Source organism: Homo sapiens, chromosome 8 (assembly GCF_000001405.40).
Source record: "Homo sapiens chromosome 8, GRCh38.p14 Primary Assembly".
Classification (NCBI taxonomy): domain Eukaryota; kingdom Metazoa; phylum Chordata; class Mammalia; order Primates; family Hominidae; genus Homo; species Homo sapiens.
Window position 1 is genome coordinate 28,887,738 of NC_000008.11, and position 13,956 is coordinate 28,901,693.

At 40.1% G+C, this 13,956-nt stretch overlaps 2 protein-coding genes across 49 annotated transcripts in view, besides 4 other annotated features; one reads left to right on the forward strand and one right to left on the reverse strand.

Annotated features, from left to right (window-relative positions):
• The window catches only part of INTS9 (integrator complex subunit 9), a 122,309-nt gene extending 120,077 nt beyond the window's left edge, over nucleotides 1–2,232 (reverse strand). For 13 of the 14 annotated variants that reach the window (NR_026826.3, XM_047421958.1, XM_047421956.1 and 10 more), the window contains exon 1: nucleotides 2,137–2,232. Coding sequence is in view for 11 of the 14 variants with exons in the window: in XM_047421958.1 (XP_047277914.1) it covers nucleotides 2,137–2,145 (9 nt within the window). In the remaining 3 variants the exon portion in view is untranslated. Of the gene's footprint in view, nucleotides 1–2,104 lie in introns of all 14 variants that reach the window. The other variant, NM_001172562.2, reaches the window with a different exon arrangement.
• Nucleotides 2,015–2,571: an enhancer, noted in NCBI's record as "H3K27ac hESC enhancer chr8:28747269-28747825 (GRCh37/hg19 assembly coordinates)". NCBI's record gives its function as "activates a minimal SCP1, AML or CMV promoter by ChIP-STARR-seq in naive and primed H9 embryonic stem cells {active_cell/tissue: H9 hESC(naive and primed)}" and the evidence as "EXISTENCE:reporter gene assay evidence [ECO:0000049][PMID:30033119]".
• Nucleotides 2,211–2,410: an enhancer, noted in NCBI's record as "active region_27175". NCBI's record gives its function as "activates an Ori minimal core promoter by ATAC-STARR-seq in GM12878 lymphoblastoid cells {active_cell/tissue: GM12878}" and the evidence as "EXISTENCE:reporter gene assay evidence [ECO:0000049][PMID:35858748]".
• The window catches only part of HMBOX1 (homeobox containing 1), a 163,155-nt gene continuing 151,577 nt past the window's right edge, over nucleotides 2,379–13,956 (forward strand). For 18 of the 35 annotated variants that reach the window (NR_136758.2, NR_136757.2, XR_001745595.2 and 15 more), the window contains exon 1: nucleotides 2,658–2,941. The gene's annotated coding sequence lies outside the window, so the exon portion shown is untranslated. The other 17 variants (NM_001324390.1, NM_001324384.1, XM_047422222.1 and 14 more) reach the window with 6 other exon arrangements.
• Nucleotides 2,572–3,128: an enhancer, noted in NCBI's record as "H3K27ac hESC enhancer chr8:28747826-28748382 (GRCh37/hg19 assembly coordinates)". NCBI's record gives its function as "activates a minimal SCP1, AML or CMV promoter by ChIP-STARR-seq in naive and primed H9 embryonic stem cells {active_cell/tissue: H9 hESC(naive and primed)}" and the evidence as "EXISTENCE:reporter gene assay evidence [ECO:0000049][PMID:30033119]".
• Nucleotides 2,781–2,900: a silencer, noted in NCBI's record as "silent region_19067". NCBI's record gives its function as "represses an Ori minimal core promoter by ATAC-STARR-seq in GM12878 lymphoblastoid cells {active_cell/tissue: GM12878}" and the evidence as "EXISTENCE:reporter gene assay evidence [ECO:0000049][PMID:35858748]".

The following is a 13,956-nucleotide window of genomic DNA, read 5'->3' on the forward strand; positions in this document are numbered from 1 at the left end:
CTACCAAATAAATTTTAGTATGTAATACATAGTTGCAAAGTAAAGAGGGAGTATGAGTATCAATAGAATACTTCCTTTTCCTCTGAGACATCTTTGGTTCTTAATGGAAAAAATAATTTTCCACTTTTTTACAATCCCCGGTTTCATATTTCTAAATAAATTAAGCAGGAGGATTTTATGAGCAAACTAAAATATATGTAAAGTAAACCCTGGCTTTTTGATACCCTCACTAATGAGTTGTTATGGGAAAAACTATTTCACACTTCCCTGCCTTCTTAAACTGAACACATTAAATATAATTTGCTCTTTATTGAGAACACAGGGTCCATGCTTTAGCCAATAAGGTACCAAGCTCTTATGCTCCTATAAGCTGACCTCTTTCATGGAAGGCCCTGGCTTACTTATCCTTATCAGTTCAAGAGTCACGTTTCCAGGAAGCTGTCCCCTGACCTCCCCAATCCTCTGTTCTCTGAATTCCCAAAACCCTGAACACGCCTCTATTTCACCATGAACACAGTGAATTATAATTTCGGACCAGGCATGGTGGCTCATGCCTGTAATTCCAGCACTTTGGAAGGTTGAGGTGGGCAGATACCTTGAACCCAGGAGTTTGAGACCAGCCTGGGCAACATGGTTAAACCCCATTTCTACAAAAAAAATAAGCAGGGTGCAGTGGTGCGCGCCTGTATTCCCAGCTATATGGGGAGACTGACGCGGCGAGAGGATCGCTTGAGTCCGAAAGGTGGAGGTAGCAGCGAGCTGAGAACGCGCCACTGCACTTCAGTCTGGGCCCCACAAAGCCAGACCCTGTCTCTAAATAAATAAATAATAACTTTGGTTTACTTTTCTATCTTCTTCTTAGGTTGCATGCTTCTGTAGGGCAACGGCTATGACTTTTAATTCTGCATTATTAAATGTGTAACACACTGACCCAGGGGTAAGTTGCTATTCTCAAGGTTTAGTGACCCGCATCCTTCCCCTTATATAAACAGATTTATACGGGGACAATTTCGGAATTGAATCCACTTTTAATACTTTCTCTGACTTCGCAGAAAACAGCTGGCTTTGCAGAATATATGCCTGTAGCACAATGATTATCAAGATGAGGGTAGGTGTGTTGTGTGGTTTGGCAAAGCATGTTCAGATAATTATATAAATGGTAAAAAATAAACTTTTTTTTTTTTTGAGACAGAGTCTCGCGCTGTTGCAAGGCTGGAGTGCAGTGGCGCGATCTTGGCTTACTGCAACCTCTGCCTCCCGGGTTCAAGCGATTCTCCTGCCTCAAGTAAAGCTTGACAATAACTTGGCTGCACAAATATGGGTTTTAAAAGGTTGAGAAACAGTGTTTCACACCTGCCTTTCTACACTATGTTATTAACTAATTGAATCGAGTTGGAATAAACTAGTTAGACTTGTGTGCACAATGAGTCAAATGGCTCAAATCAAAGGTCTGAGGAGCCTCCATGAACCAGGTGCTTGAGCTGTGTGATGTTAAGACTTCAGGTATACCGAGCACGCTTCATTCAGCCTTGGCTCATGAAGTCCCTACAGTCTTAGAATGGAATACCATATAACACTTCTCTGCCCATCTAAATCCCATGCAGGGTTTAAGACTCAACTTCTCCACACTCTGACCTCGTCCTGAATTCCAAGGGCAGTGAGGAGTCTATATAACAGGATATTTAATAAGTGATTACGTTCTGCTGGATGTTTTTTACTGTCTGCTTAAATCTAGCCAGTCTCAACAACAGTAGGGAGACAGGATACTCAAGCGCCAATCGAATGGAAACGGATTGTTAACAGCCTATTATAACCCTCACGTGGGAACCAGGACGTCCAAACCTGGTTAACAGAGCCCACAGAGTTCATGGGCGAAGGACTGTGACAGTCAACCTCTTGTCTGAACAAAAAGACCCACTAACGAGTGAAAAAAGACCTCCTGGGAGGGATGGGGTGGGGGAGAGGGAATTCAAACCTTCTCAACAACAAAAAGCAGCTTTCCTTAGCCCACTCCACTTTCCAGCTCAATAATTGCTACCCCTCCCGTGCGACGATTCCCTGCCCAACGTAGGAAAAAAAGAGGTCCAAAAGGTTATAGCATCACCTTTGCCCTCTGACCTAGGAGCGAAGACTCACCAGTTTCATAATGGACTTTTGGTGGTTCAATAGCAGTCACTGAACTCCTCAAACCCAGGAAGCGTCTTCCGGTGCAATCTCCGCCACCTGCCAGCCGAGAGCATCGCGGGACTTGCAGTCTTTCATCCTCACGTCCCTTCCAGGGGAATAATGGGAAATGTAGTCTCCCCTCCAGGCATCATGGGAACTGTGGTCGCCTTTCCTTTTCCTCCCTTTCCTCTCCGAACGCCTCCTTCCGTCAGCTCAAATTCATCCCAGCCGCCAATGCATCCTCCCTCTCCACCCCAGCATGATATCATGTCTTCCTTACGGGCCTGGGGCCCATGGTGTTCTGGGATGTGTAGTCCCGACGGCTCCGACTCCCCTTTCCCTCCTCCCAAAGGGAAGGCGGATGGGCACGGGGCTTGCCGGAAGTTGTAGTTCCCTTGGCCCTCTAGGCGCCGGGCTCCGCAATTTTTCTCAGGGGAGGCAGGAACTACAACTCCCAGGGACGCCCGGCGGCAGCAGGTGGGAGAGGGGCTGTTGATATCAATATGGCGGTTGTCAGCCAGACAAAGACAGTCAGTCTGATGTGATTGAGACAAGGGAGGTTTTTCAGGGGGAGACTGGGAGATAGGGGCCTCCCCTCCCCCTTCTCCTCTTCCTGCGCCGGCCTCAACCCCTCCCCAGTCCCCTCCCGACGGGCGCCCCACGCGGAAGACACCCCTCCCCCTCCCGCCTTCCCTCCTCCCTATCTCAGCCCTTCGTACTGGGACGTTGGGGAGGGGGCTGTGCCGGGCGGAGAGAACTCAGCGAGGATTCTGAGGTGAGTCGAGCGGTTTTGAAGCCGGACTACCTCAAGTCTCTTTCCTCACTTCTTTCTCTTCACTTAAAACAATTTTTTTGGAGGGGTTTTGGGGAGGAAGTGAGCGGACGCTGGGGATGGGTCTCGTAAGCGGCCGGATTGAGAGGAGGGAGGAAGCAGGGGGCTTCCGAGTGGGTGACCCAGACGCGGGCTGTGGGGTGGGGCAGTTCGTGGGGTCCGGTCCTGGAAAGGCGTCGACTGCCCCCCAACTCTTCTGGTTTCCTCTACGATGAGCGGAAGGTTTGAATCCTGGAGGTGGGGTCTCCGGTGTGGAGTTCTGGAAACTGTGAGGTGATTTGCAGGTGTGTTGGTTTGTTTGGGGTGTGTAAGTGTGTTTAAACTGTGTGACGTGTACTTGTGTGCTCTGCTCGTCTTGGAGCGGTGTCTGTAGATGGGAAGTTAGACAGCGCGAGTCCTCGCTCGCTCTGGGCCTGGGCTGAGGGGCGGGCGTGAGGTCCTGGTGCTGGGCGTTTGGGCTGGCGACGTGGTGCGAGGCGGCCGGGCTCAACAACTCGCTTGTGTCCCGTCGCCCGCTCACACTCTGCCACTCGCCTCCGCCCCCTCCCCTGGACGAATCTCCACCCCAAACTCCAGCCACGAGAACTGTAGAGATGGTGTGATGTGGAGATGGATTTTTTGCATCCTCAAGTCGGTAGATAGGTGGGAAAGGAAAAGTGTTTCTTAATATTTTATTCCGGAACCGTGTTTTGGTTACACTATTGGGGCTACTTTGAAAGGCGTCCTCCACCCACCTTCACCCCGAAACAGTAGGTAGAGGTATCTTGTCTTCGTGTGAATTAGATGAATAATTGCTGAAGATTCGGGGGGCCTGGGGTGGGGGTCGGGAGTGCTGGATTGTGTACGCGTCTGTGTGTGTCTACTAAGGAGACGGAATGTCTGTTATGTATCTGGAGATAGGGCGACTTATTTTCGTAGCAGGAGGAACTGTTGGAAATTATTTGCGGGAGAGGGGGTGCGCCGAAAGGCGCTGCTTGTATTTTTCTTCTACTCCACCCTGTTCTGTCTTGCATTTGCCTGAAAGCTGGTGGAATGGAACAGTGAAGAAGCATTGGGTGAGTAAAGGGAAGAATGCAGTTGGCATTAAAGATAACACTATGTAAAGTTGAATGGTATAAAGTGATTACTGTTTTTATTTACGCTGAAGCTTAAAAAAAATCACCCATGTATCATATAAGGTAGAGTGATGTGACTAGCTCATTTCTCTGGTATCCTGCAGGTACAGAAACCTCTGGCTTCCCTCTTCCTTCCTTCCTATCCTCCCTCCTTCCTTCCTTCCTTAAGTCCTTCCTTTCTTTCTTGGCTTCGTACAACATTTCTCTTTCTGTTGGACATAATACCGCCTGTGTCTTTTTATTTAGTTTGTGCTAATATGGTTGTGCTTTTTGTGGTTTTACCATAAAATGCATCGTTAAATGCATTTATTATTTTGCATTTATGCTGCAGGTAATTATCACATCAGGATTGCAGTGCTTTGCATTAAACTTATTTTAAAATTGTGCAATTAAGTTGCTTGATCTAGCTGAATTATGTTTCTAAGTCAAAGTTGGGAAATTTGAATTCTAAATTTTTTTTCAAATTTCAATTAGAGTTAAAAAGGAAAGGATTGCAACATCTCTTATTTCTCACAGTTTTTAATATTTAATAACACACTAGGAGAATTTAAGGTCATATTTTGTACTTCCTTATTAAGTTCTTCAATAATCCTTATGTGACAATTTTTTTAGTGTAACGGATTTTTAAAGTAAAGAAATTGGCATAATTTCTATTTCGACTGTTGAGAATTGAATATATTCCCCAAACTTATCAATTCTTGAATCTGCCACCTATCATCAGTAAGGGACCTTTAGATTCTATGATAACTGAAAACCACATTGATAGAGTGTGTAATTTTATGATATGTCCTCTAACCATTGATTTAAAATTTTTGCTGTTGGTCATTCACACAGATAAGGGGGACTGAAAGAGTGAGGTAGCATGTATATTTCAATTGACCTGAATAGAAAAAAAAATGTGATTTCTAAATCTCAGATGTAGAATATACAATATGTTGATTCAAAACTAAGCCATTAGTTTGTGATAGACCAGGATTTTCAGAATCATTTGTTTTAAGCTTGTATCTTAACTTGAAACACTACTTTGCAAAAACCAGAGAAAAATCCTACGTAACTACTTAACGGAGTGTTTTGTTTTATTTTTCTGAAGCATATTATAATAGTCATGGAGTTTTTTAAAAAATGTTTAATAATTATTTTAGAAGTAAAAAACCAACATGTTTGTTAATATTTTAAATTGGAAAAACACGAGTGTTTTCTCTTCCATCTACCCTTACCTCAAAATTTCTTTTTGTTTTGTCTATAGAAGTGCAAAGTTATTTACTTGAAAAAGCATTCATTAAACTTTTTCTGGCTACTAGTGGGATCAAAATCATTACATGTAAACCAAATATATTCCCAGCATTTGTTGGGGGTGATTCTGTTGCATTTTAAGTACTGGGCATTAAAATGATGTAAAGCCTTTACTGCAGGTTAAAGCATAAAACATTCTCAGCATGTGAGAGTCATATGGTTTACAAATAAAGTAGAAAACCAGGGCATGGGTGCTTGTCCAGCTTACAATTTCATCCCGTAACTGTGAAAGACACATTTATTTTAATGTGATTGCTTCTAAAGATGTTGCCTGTATTATGGGAAGTTGAAAATCTAAGCTGCTTTTAACTAATCTGTTGCTAGTTTAGTTTACTGCATTTAGTGAACACTATGTATGGTCACAAATACGCATCAAGGAAAGGAGCCTTTAGCTGGAAGTTGAATGCCTTTAGTGAGGCTTCGTTTTCACTGCTGTACAAACAGATTTCAGTCTTCTAGCCCAAATCCTCAGTTAAAACATCGCTAATAGAAACTTAATAGCTCAGTGTTCCTAAGTTACAAAATATGTGGCAACAAATCTGTCATTGTTACATCATTTAAAAAATAGCAACCAGCTTATGGCAATTTTTGTGGCAAGTGTTGATTGGAATTCTATTGCTTGTTTCATAGATATTGAATACATTGGGAATATTTAGGCTTAATTTGTGTATTTTGAGTCTCCTGTACACTGTATTCAGCACATCCCACATTTAGGGCTCCCGTGCAATTTAGTTCTGTTCATTTCATTGTAGCTCTTGCTTCTCTTATTTTTGTATACAGCTCTTTAAACCTGAATTATTTCTCTTGGGAATCAGGTATTTATGTAGAATGTTGTCATAAGTGAAAGTTGGCATACCACTCAACTTTTTAAATACATGAACATTTATAGATAAACCGAATAGTGCTCATTGAAAATGTGTTGGTTTTGTTTGTTTTGTGAACCAGCTTTATTTAGTTCTTTGGCTTCTGGAATTAATTTTGTAGCTCACTTTGCTATTCTTTGGCTAGATTTTTCTGTTAACAGTTGGCTTTTACTTCCCACTGTAGTAGAACTGTAATTTATTAAAGCATTGTTGTGAGTGAAAAGCATGGCTTGTCTAGAGTGCCATATATGTACACCCACAATACACTCATACATAAAATACTTTTATGTTTATTTATTTATTTATGAAATTGGTGTATATCTATCAGACATGCCTCCCATAAGAAAGAATCTGAGCCACAAATAGCAGAAGACCTTGAACTTTGACTGAAGCTAGAAACCAAAGAGTAACCAGCACATGTTGTCCACATTATAGAAGCTGAGGAGATTTTCATTATCATTCCAAACCATTATTTTCACAGATTTTGTTAAAATACAGTTCTCTCAAAATGGAAGCTATTGATATTGAAAGTTTTCTCAAAATATTAGTAAGTAAGACGTAGCATGGATTCCTAGGTGCAGCTATTCCCCCACATTGCCCTTACTGGATTTAGGGCCCATCATAGGCGCAGAGTAAAGATTTTTCCATGGGATTATTTGATGTAAACTTTTAGTTGCAGTGTATTCAAACATAATCCAGTGCTTTAGATAATTTGTTTTCCTTGACCTTAGATGAAACAAGTTGGAAATTTACTATAACATTGTTTTGGACACTTTCCAAGAGCATTTAGCTCCTGGAAGGGCCCTGGCTTTAGCATGGTTTTTACCCTTATAGTGGTAATAAAGTTGAAGTTACATTAAGTTTTTCCAGTGATTAGTGTAATCTTAATGCAATATTTGACAGATTCTTAGGCTATAGTTTTTTTTTAACATTTGCAAAAAAAAAAAACAGTAACAATAGTCTGATTTTAGCTTTGAAGTGATCAATTATTTTAACTTTTTCACCCTTAAAATGGGTGACACTAGACTCCTTCCTGTTAAGTGGTAAAATGATTCTAATCCAGTCAAAGGGCACTTAGGTTTTTCTTAAATTTAGAGTGTGGATTGTGATAAAAATGTTGACTAAATTCCACATGCTGAGTATGTATTCTCTCTGGCTGCTTCTTTGTTTATCTTATGTCCAGAGATGGTCCACATGTGGTGTATTGAAAATATTAGTAGCCTCATTACTGTATACGTATTAAGTAGCGTGGAGTTGCCAAGTGGCAGTAACTTTAATTTGTATCTAGTCACAATTTTTATAGCAAGAAAGTGAAATGCTGTGGGTACTGCTGAAACAGGGATGACTTAAGACTGAATTGTTCTGCTTTAAGATTTTGATAATATAGGCCAGGCATGGTGGCTCATGCCTGTCATCCCAACACTTTGGGAGGCTGAGGTGGGCAGATCACCTAAGGTCAGGAATTCGAGACCAGTCTGGCCAACATGGCGAAACCTTGTCTCTACTGAAAAGACAAAAATTAGCTGGGTATGGTGGTGCATGCCTGTAATCCCAGCTACTCGGGAGGCTGAGGCAGGAGAATCGCTTGAACCTGGGAGGTGGAGGTTGTAGTGAGCTGAGATTGCGCCGCTGCACTCCAGCCTGGGCAACAGAGTGAGACTCAGTCTCAAAAAAAAAAAAATTTTGATAATGTATTGTATTGTTAAAACATGAAATCCTTGGCTTGTGTGTAGTCAGTCAAGCCTTGAAATTGGATGAAGTTCTCACTCTTCATCCAATCGTGAAGTCAAGTTGGTTTCGTATTTTGTATACATTTCTTTCTATTAATGTTCTCTTATTTCATATCTTCATCCTTTCTGGTTTATTGCATCAGTCTCTTAACTAATCTTGTTTGAATTTTTTTCATTAGTCATTCTAAGCTCCTAGTAGGAGTTATCTTGCCAAAATAAAATGTGAATTTGATTGTCAACCATACTTTGCCTGTAATCCTTTAGTGGCTCCTCAGACTTTGACATAAATCAAAAATTGAGAGTCATACCACCTGTGTCCAAATCCTGGTTTTTGCCAGTTACTAGCTATGTGACCTTGGGCAAATCATTTAAAATGTCTGTACCTCAGCTTCCCCATCAATAGACTGGGGATAAAAATAGTACCTACTTCATAGGATTATTGTGAGCCCTTGAAGTGCTGGCAAGTCCTTAGGATGCTTTTGGCATATTATAGTTTACAGGAAGCTGCAAAAATAGAGAGGGCACTGTAACTTTTCCCCAGTTTCCCCTATTGGTTACATCCTACATAACTTTAATACAATATTAAAACCAGGAAATTGACATCAGTACAATGTGTGTGTATAGTTCTATGCCATTTTATCACAGGTGTGTAGATTGCATAATCACCACCAAAATCAAGGTACAGAACTCTTACTGCAAAGATTGAATGATTCTCCTCCTCTTCATAAGTTCTGTTGTTTTGTCAATATAGCTAAGGAGAAAGATAACCAATTATTGGATCAGTAATTTCACTCTTTGCCTTATGTAATACAGTCATGTAGTACATAATGATGTTTCAGTCAAAAACGGACTGAATATATGACAGTGGTCCCATAAGATTATATCATATTTTAACTGTACTTTTTCCAAGGTTTAGAAACACAGATACTTTCCAGTGCGTTACAGTTGCCTACAATGTTTAATACAGTAACATGCTGTACAGGTTTGTAGCCTAGGAGCAATAGGCTATACCACCTAGGCTTGTGTAAGTACACTCTATGGTGTTCGCTCAACAATGAAATTGCCTAATGGTGCGTTTCTCAGAGTGTATCTCTGTCATTAAGTGTTGCATTGGCACATCCTGAAAGTTTTTATGAAAAATTCCACTTAAACTTTCTTTTAAAAGTTTATTTTTTAGATGAACCTGACATTGCAAACATACCAATTTTTTTTTTTGTTATGAGAATCTGAATATTGGCTAGGTTTTTTTTTTTTTTCTTTTTTTTGAGATGGAGTTTCGCTCTTGTTACCCAGGCTGGAGTACAATGGCGCGATGTCATCTCACCGCAACTTCTGCCACCCAGGTTCAAGTGATTCTCCTGCCTCAGCCTTCCTGAGTAGCTGGGATTATGGGCATGCGCCACCATGCCCGGCTAATTTTGTAGTTTTAATAGAGACGGGGTTTCTCCATGTTGGTCATGCTGGTCTCGAATCCCCCCTCAGGTGATCCACCCGCCTTGGCCTCCCAAAGTGCTGGGATTACAGGCGTAAGCCACTGGTCGGCTAGTTTTTTTTTTTTAAATGAGGAATTATAATATTAGGACCCATTAAAATTTTCTGGTAAAAGTTAACGATAACATTGAAATTGTCCACAAATAAAATGTGTAAGATTTAAATGAGGCTGGGCGTGGTGGCTCATGCCGGTAATCCCGGCACTTTGGGAGGCCAAGGCAGATGGATCATGAGGTCAGGAGTTCAAGACCAGCCTGACCAACATGGTGAAACTTTGCCTCTACTAAAAATACAAAAATATAGCCGGGCGTGGTGGCACACACCTGTACTCCCAGCTACTCAGGAGGCTGAGGCAGGAGAATCACTTGAACCTGGGAGGCGGAGGTTGCAGTGAGCCAAGGTGGCGCCACTGCACACCAGATTGGGCAACAGAGCGAGACTCTATCTCAAACAAACAAACAAAAAAAGATTTAAATTTTAAATAAATTCAAGGCTTACATGGTATGTTTGTTGCTAGAGAGGATATGTTAGAATCTGTGTTAGATAACCAAAATTACAGCTATTTTGACATTAGTTTGGTTTTGACAGTGTTAATGCAAACTTGTCAGATTAATTGATTGTCAGCATATGTCATAGTTTTATTTTGTACTTGTTGCAAGGGAACTAGCTTTAAAGGAAGTTAGTTCAAAGATATTTTCAGAAAAAGGATCTTTACAGAATAAAAGGGGAGGTTATGGTTACTATTTTTGTTAGGTACAAGTTAAAGGATAGTTACAGGGTTGGTTATACTTTGCTGCCCCTTAATCAGCCATATGATTATAAAGCCTGTCTTAAAAGATGAGGCTGTTAATCCAATATACTATCGATTATTACAGACAACAACGGAAGTCTGCTTTAAACAGGCTAACAAAATATTTTCAAATGTATTAACAAATAAAGGTAGATCACCTGATTTTTGTCTTCTCTGGGTTTGAGACAATTTTTCATTTGTCAATACTGTGATAATTTCTATTAAAAAAAGACAAAGTTTAATTTGTTTCATTAGCAGGAATATGACAAATATTGATGGTACTTCCTGATAAATAAGATTCATATTTACAAAGCTTTTTGGCTACCTGTGATTTCAGTTTTTTCCTGGTAGAATTATTTTTTCCTCCTTGGATTTATGTTTCTAGCTTTCTATTTGTCTTGGTGTACGTACTAAAAAATAATGCTTGAATTAGGGATCATTTGGCTTCAAGGACAGGCGTTGTAGGGATTCAGCTGTTTTGGGTTGAAGAAGAGTGACTAGACCTTGTGTGAATGGGAGAAACGTTAGGAATCTGAGAAGCTAGTCTCTCAAGCTCTCGTTCTGGTGATAAATGGTTTCTTGTCTCAGCATCTCCTTCCATGTCTGCTTCATCTCCCTTTCTCACTTCTCCCTTCCAGTTCTGTTTGTATTGCCCTGGTTTTTCATAGTCTCTGCTTCTCTGACTGGTAAGTGGATTTGATTTGCCATGGTGTTGACTTGAACTGTTCTTTCAACTAGAGTTTACCTGTTGATGGTGACAGTGTGTTTCTTTTAGTTCAGTTGGCAAGAGAGAAATCTGAATGCATTGCATGACCACCATGACTTAAATGTCTATCCTTATCCCGTGACCTTGGTGGGAGGTAGCGTGGAAAGCACCTTTTATATGAGGCTTAAGCTTTTAGATGCTTTTTATGAGGAGGGTTCTCTTGTTGGTGTTGAACAAGGCACTCAGTTAAACATGTCAAGTCTAGCAGTGCGTGATGAGGTACTTTGTGGGATACAAAGATAGGTTGGATTTAATCCTTTTCTGCAAGGATCAGTTTGCTGGAAATAGCAAAAGACTCCTATAATTTAAGATTTGCTTTTTATTCTAGTCACCTCAGGCAAACCAGAAAGATGACAAAGTAGGACTATAAGAACTAGCTAGGATTAAGGAAGGAGAATGAGAGGTAGCCCTGGATACATGAACGTACTATCTCTACAGTTTGGATCACTAACCTACTAAGCATGAAAGTATCTAGAAGCCATTGTATCAGGATCCTCATTGCTGCTATCAAAGACTATCCCTTATTGAATAAAGAAGCTCTTATTCATATCAAGTAGACATTCTTTTGTCCCATCATTAAGATCTAGAGACATCTTAGGAGAACTCATTTCATCACTACTCTAGGAACTGGAACATTCTCATAGGCACCCTCTATCTATATAGTGACAACTGTTCTCTTAGCAAATGTCATTCATCCCTGACAAGAAAATTTGTGCCTTCTTTCTTTAGAGACAATAAGCAGGAATTCAAATAGTTGAGTCTGTAGTAGTGAGCATCTTGTTCTCTGCAGATCTGGCAACAAAAGAATTGACATACTGGGTCAATCCAATGTCCAGTCAACACCATAGGTGATATTTAACAAAAGCTCCATGATTTCAGGGAAAGGAACTGGAGCTTTTTATTCCTATGTCAGTATTGGAGTTTATATGGACTTCAGAGCTAAAATTTCCATATCCAAGTCTTTATTATATTACCAAACCAGGGCCAAGATTTTTAGAAATAAGTACAAGTCAAGGATAGGCAACTAAGGAACCTAGAAGATTGGAGTCAGATTACAAAGCCACAGGAGATAAATAGTTGGGGAGTCACAGAGTTCTAAGCACTTAGGCTACAACAGAAGGAAACAGTGATCTCAACTTTTGTGTTGAAGAATTGCCTGGAAAAAGTATTAAAATTTTAGTTTCTGGCTGGGCGCAGTGGCTCACACCTGTAATCCCAGCACTTTGGGAGGCTGAGGTGGGCGGATCATGAGATCAGGAGTTCAAGACCAGCCTGGCCAACATGGTGAAACCCTGTTTCTATTAAAAATACTAAAACATTAGCTGGGCATCATGGCGCGCCTGTAATCCCAGCTACTCGGGAGGCTAAGGCAGGAGAATTGCTTGAACTGGGAACTGGGAGGCAGAGGTTGCAGTGAGCTGAGATTGCGCCACTGCACTCCAGCCTGGGCTACAGAGCAAGATTCCGTCTCAAAAAAAAAAAAAAAAAATATATATATATATATATATTTTGTTTCCTGAGTTCTACCCCCAGATTCCTAAAATCTGAGATGGGCCCAGGAATATATATCCTTCATAAGTATATCAGGTAATTCTAATTGGTATAGTCCTCAGAATGCTTGGAAAATGCATAGACAGCATAATGTCTACTTAGAACCTATTATATGCTTTGTTCTGTGGAAGTCTCAAATATCTGTTTATAATTGGGAGTGTTTCTTTCCTGATATTTGCCTGCCTCATATTAAACACTGTGTCCATCCTCTCTGATTGCTTATGTCAGTAGATCGTGACATGGGCTATATTTTGCGTAAATATGATTATTTTTCTAGATGTTGTACTTAACAGTATTATGCCCTAAACATCTAGTTTTTATGGTTATGGCATCAGCTCATTTTCTTAAACTCTGTATTTTTGTATATGAACTCTTAAGAAGACAGTCTTTTTTTATTCCCACCTTTTGTCATTAAGTTCTCCTTTATTCTAATTTTCTGGATCTGGTAAGCGAGTTTTTTTTGTTTGTTTTTTAACCTTATATACTTTGGAATATCAGCCATCTCTTGAACCTTTGCACTCATGAATTAATTTCTCACCTTTTAAGGTCTGTCATTCTTTTTGGAGTCTTAATTACTCTTAGAATATTGAGCTGGTTGTGAACATGAACTTTGGAGCCATATTGTCTAGGTGCAAATCTGATCTCCACTACTTAACCCTGTAATTTTGTGTAAACCTCTATGTGTCTCATCTGTAAACTGGGCATAGATAAATAATACTATTTATTCATATACATAATAGGATTCTTGTGAGTATATGATTCAACATTTGCAAAGTGCTTAGAGTAGTGGTTGTTACACCTTATCTTATTATTAGTTGTCCTGTTCTTTTTCCTAGGTAATACTCCCCTCCTTAATCTTTAGAATTCTCTATTTGTTGCAAATAATCCCTTTCTGGCTAATTTATTTTTTCTTTGTGTATTTATTTTCTTCTGAGTTTTCCTTTTTTAGCTCTTAGCTGCATTTGATGTAATATTTCCCCTTAAAATTTTTTCTATACAAGTGTTTCTTCCATCATTCTTTTCTCTCTTGTTAAAATTACCTCTGGTCTTGAAGTTCCTAGATTTGAAGGCTTTAAATCTCCCTTTAGTACTTTTCTTTTTGTACTTTTCTCCCTCCTCCTCTCACCTAATTTGTCAGTGATCTGCTGATTCTTTCACCCCATAACATCTCTTAGATTATTCTTTTCCTTTATTGTCTATAGTTGCCATCCTCATTACTTCTTGTTGAGATGATTGCAGCAGTAAAACTGGCCTTCCTGCCACTTCCCTACTCTATTCCATGGTGCACAGCACTCTTAGAATAATTTTTATCAAACTTTTCATCAAGTCATTTAAGAGGTTACTATACCTTAGTTCAAA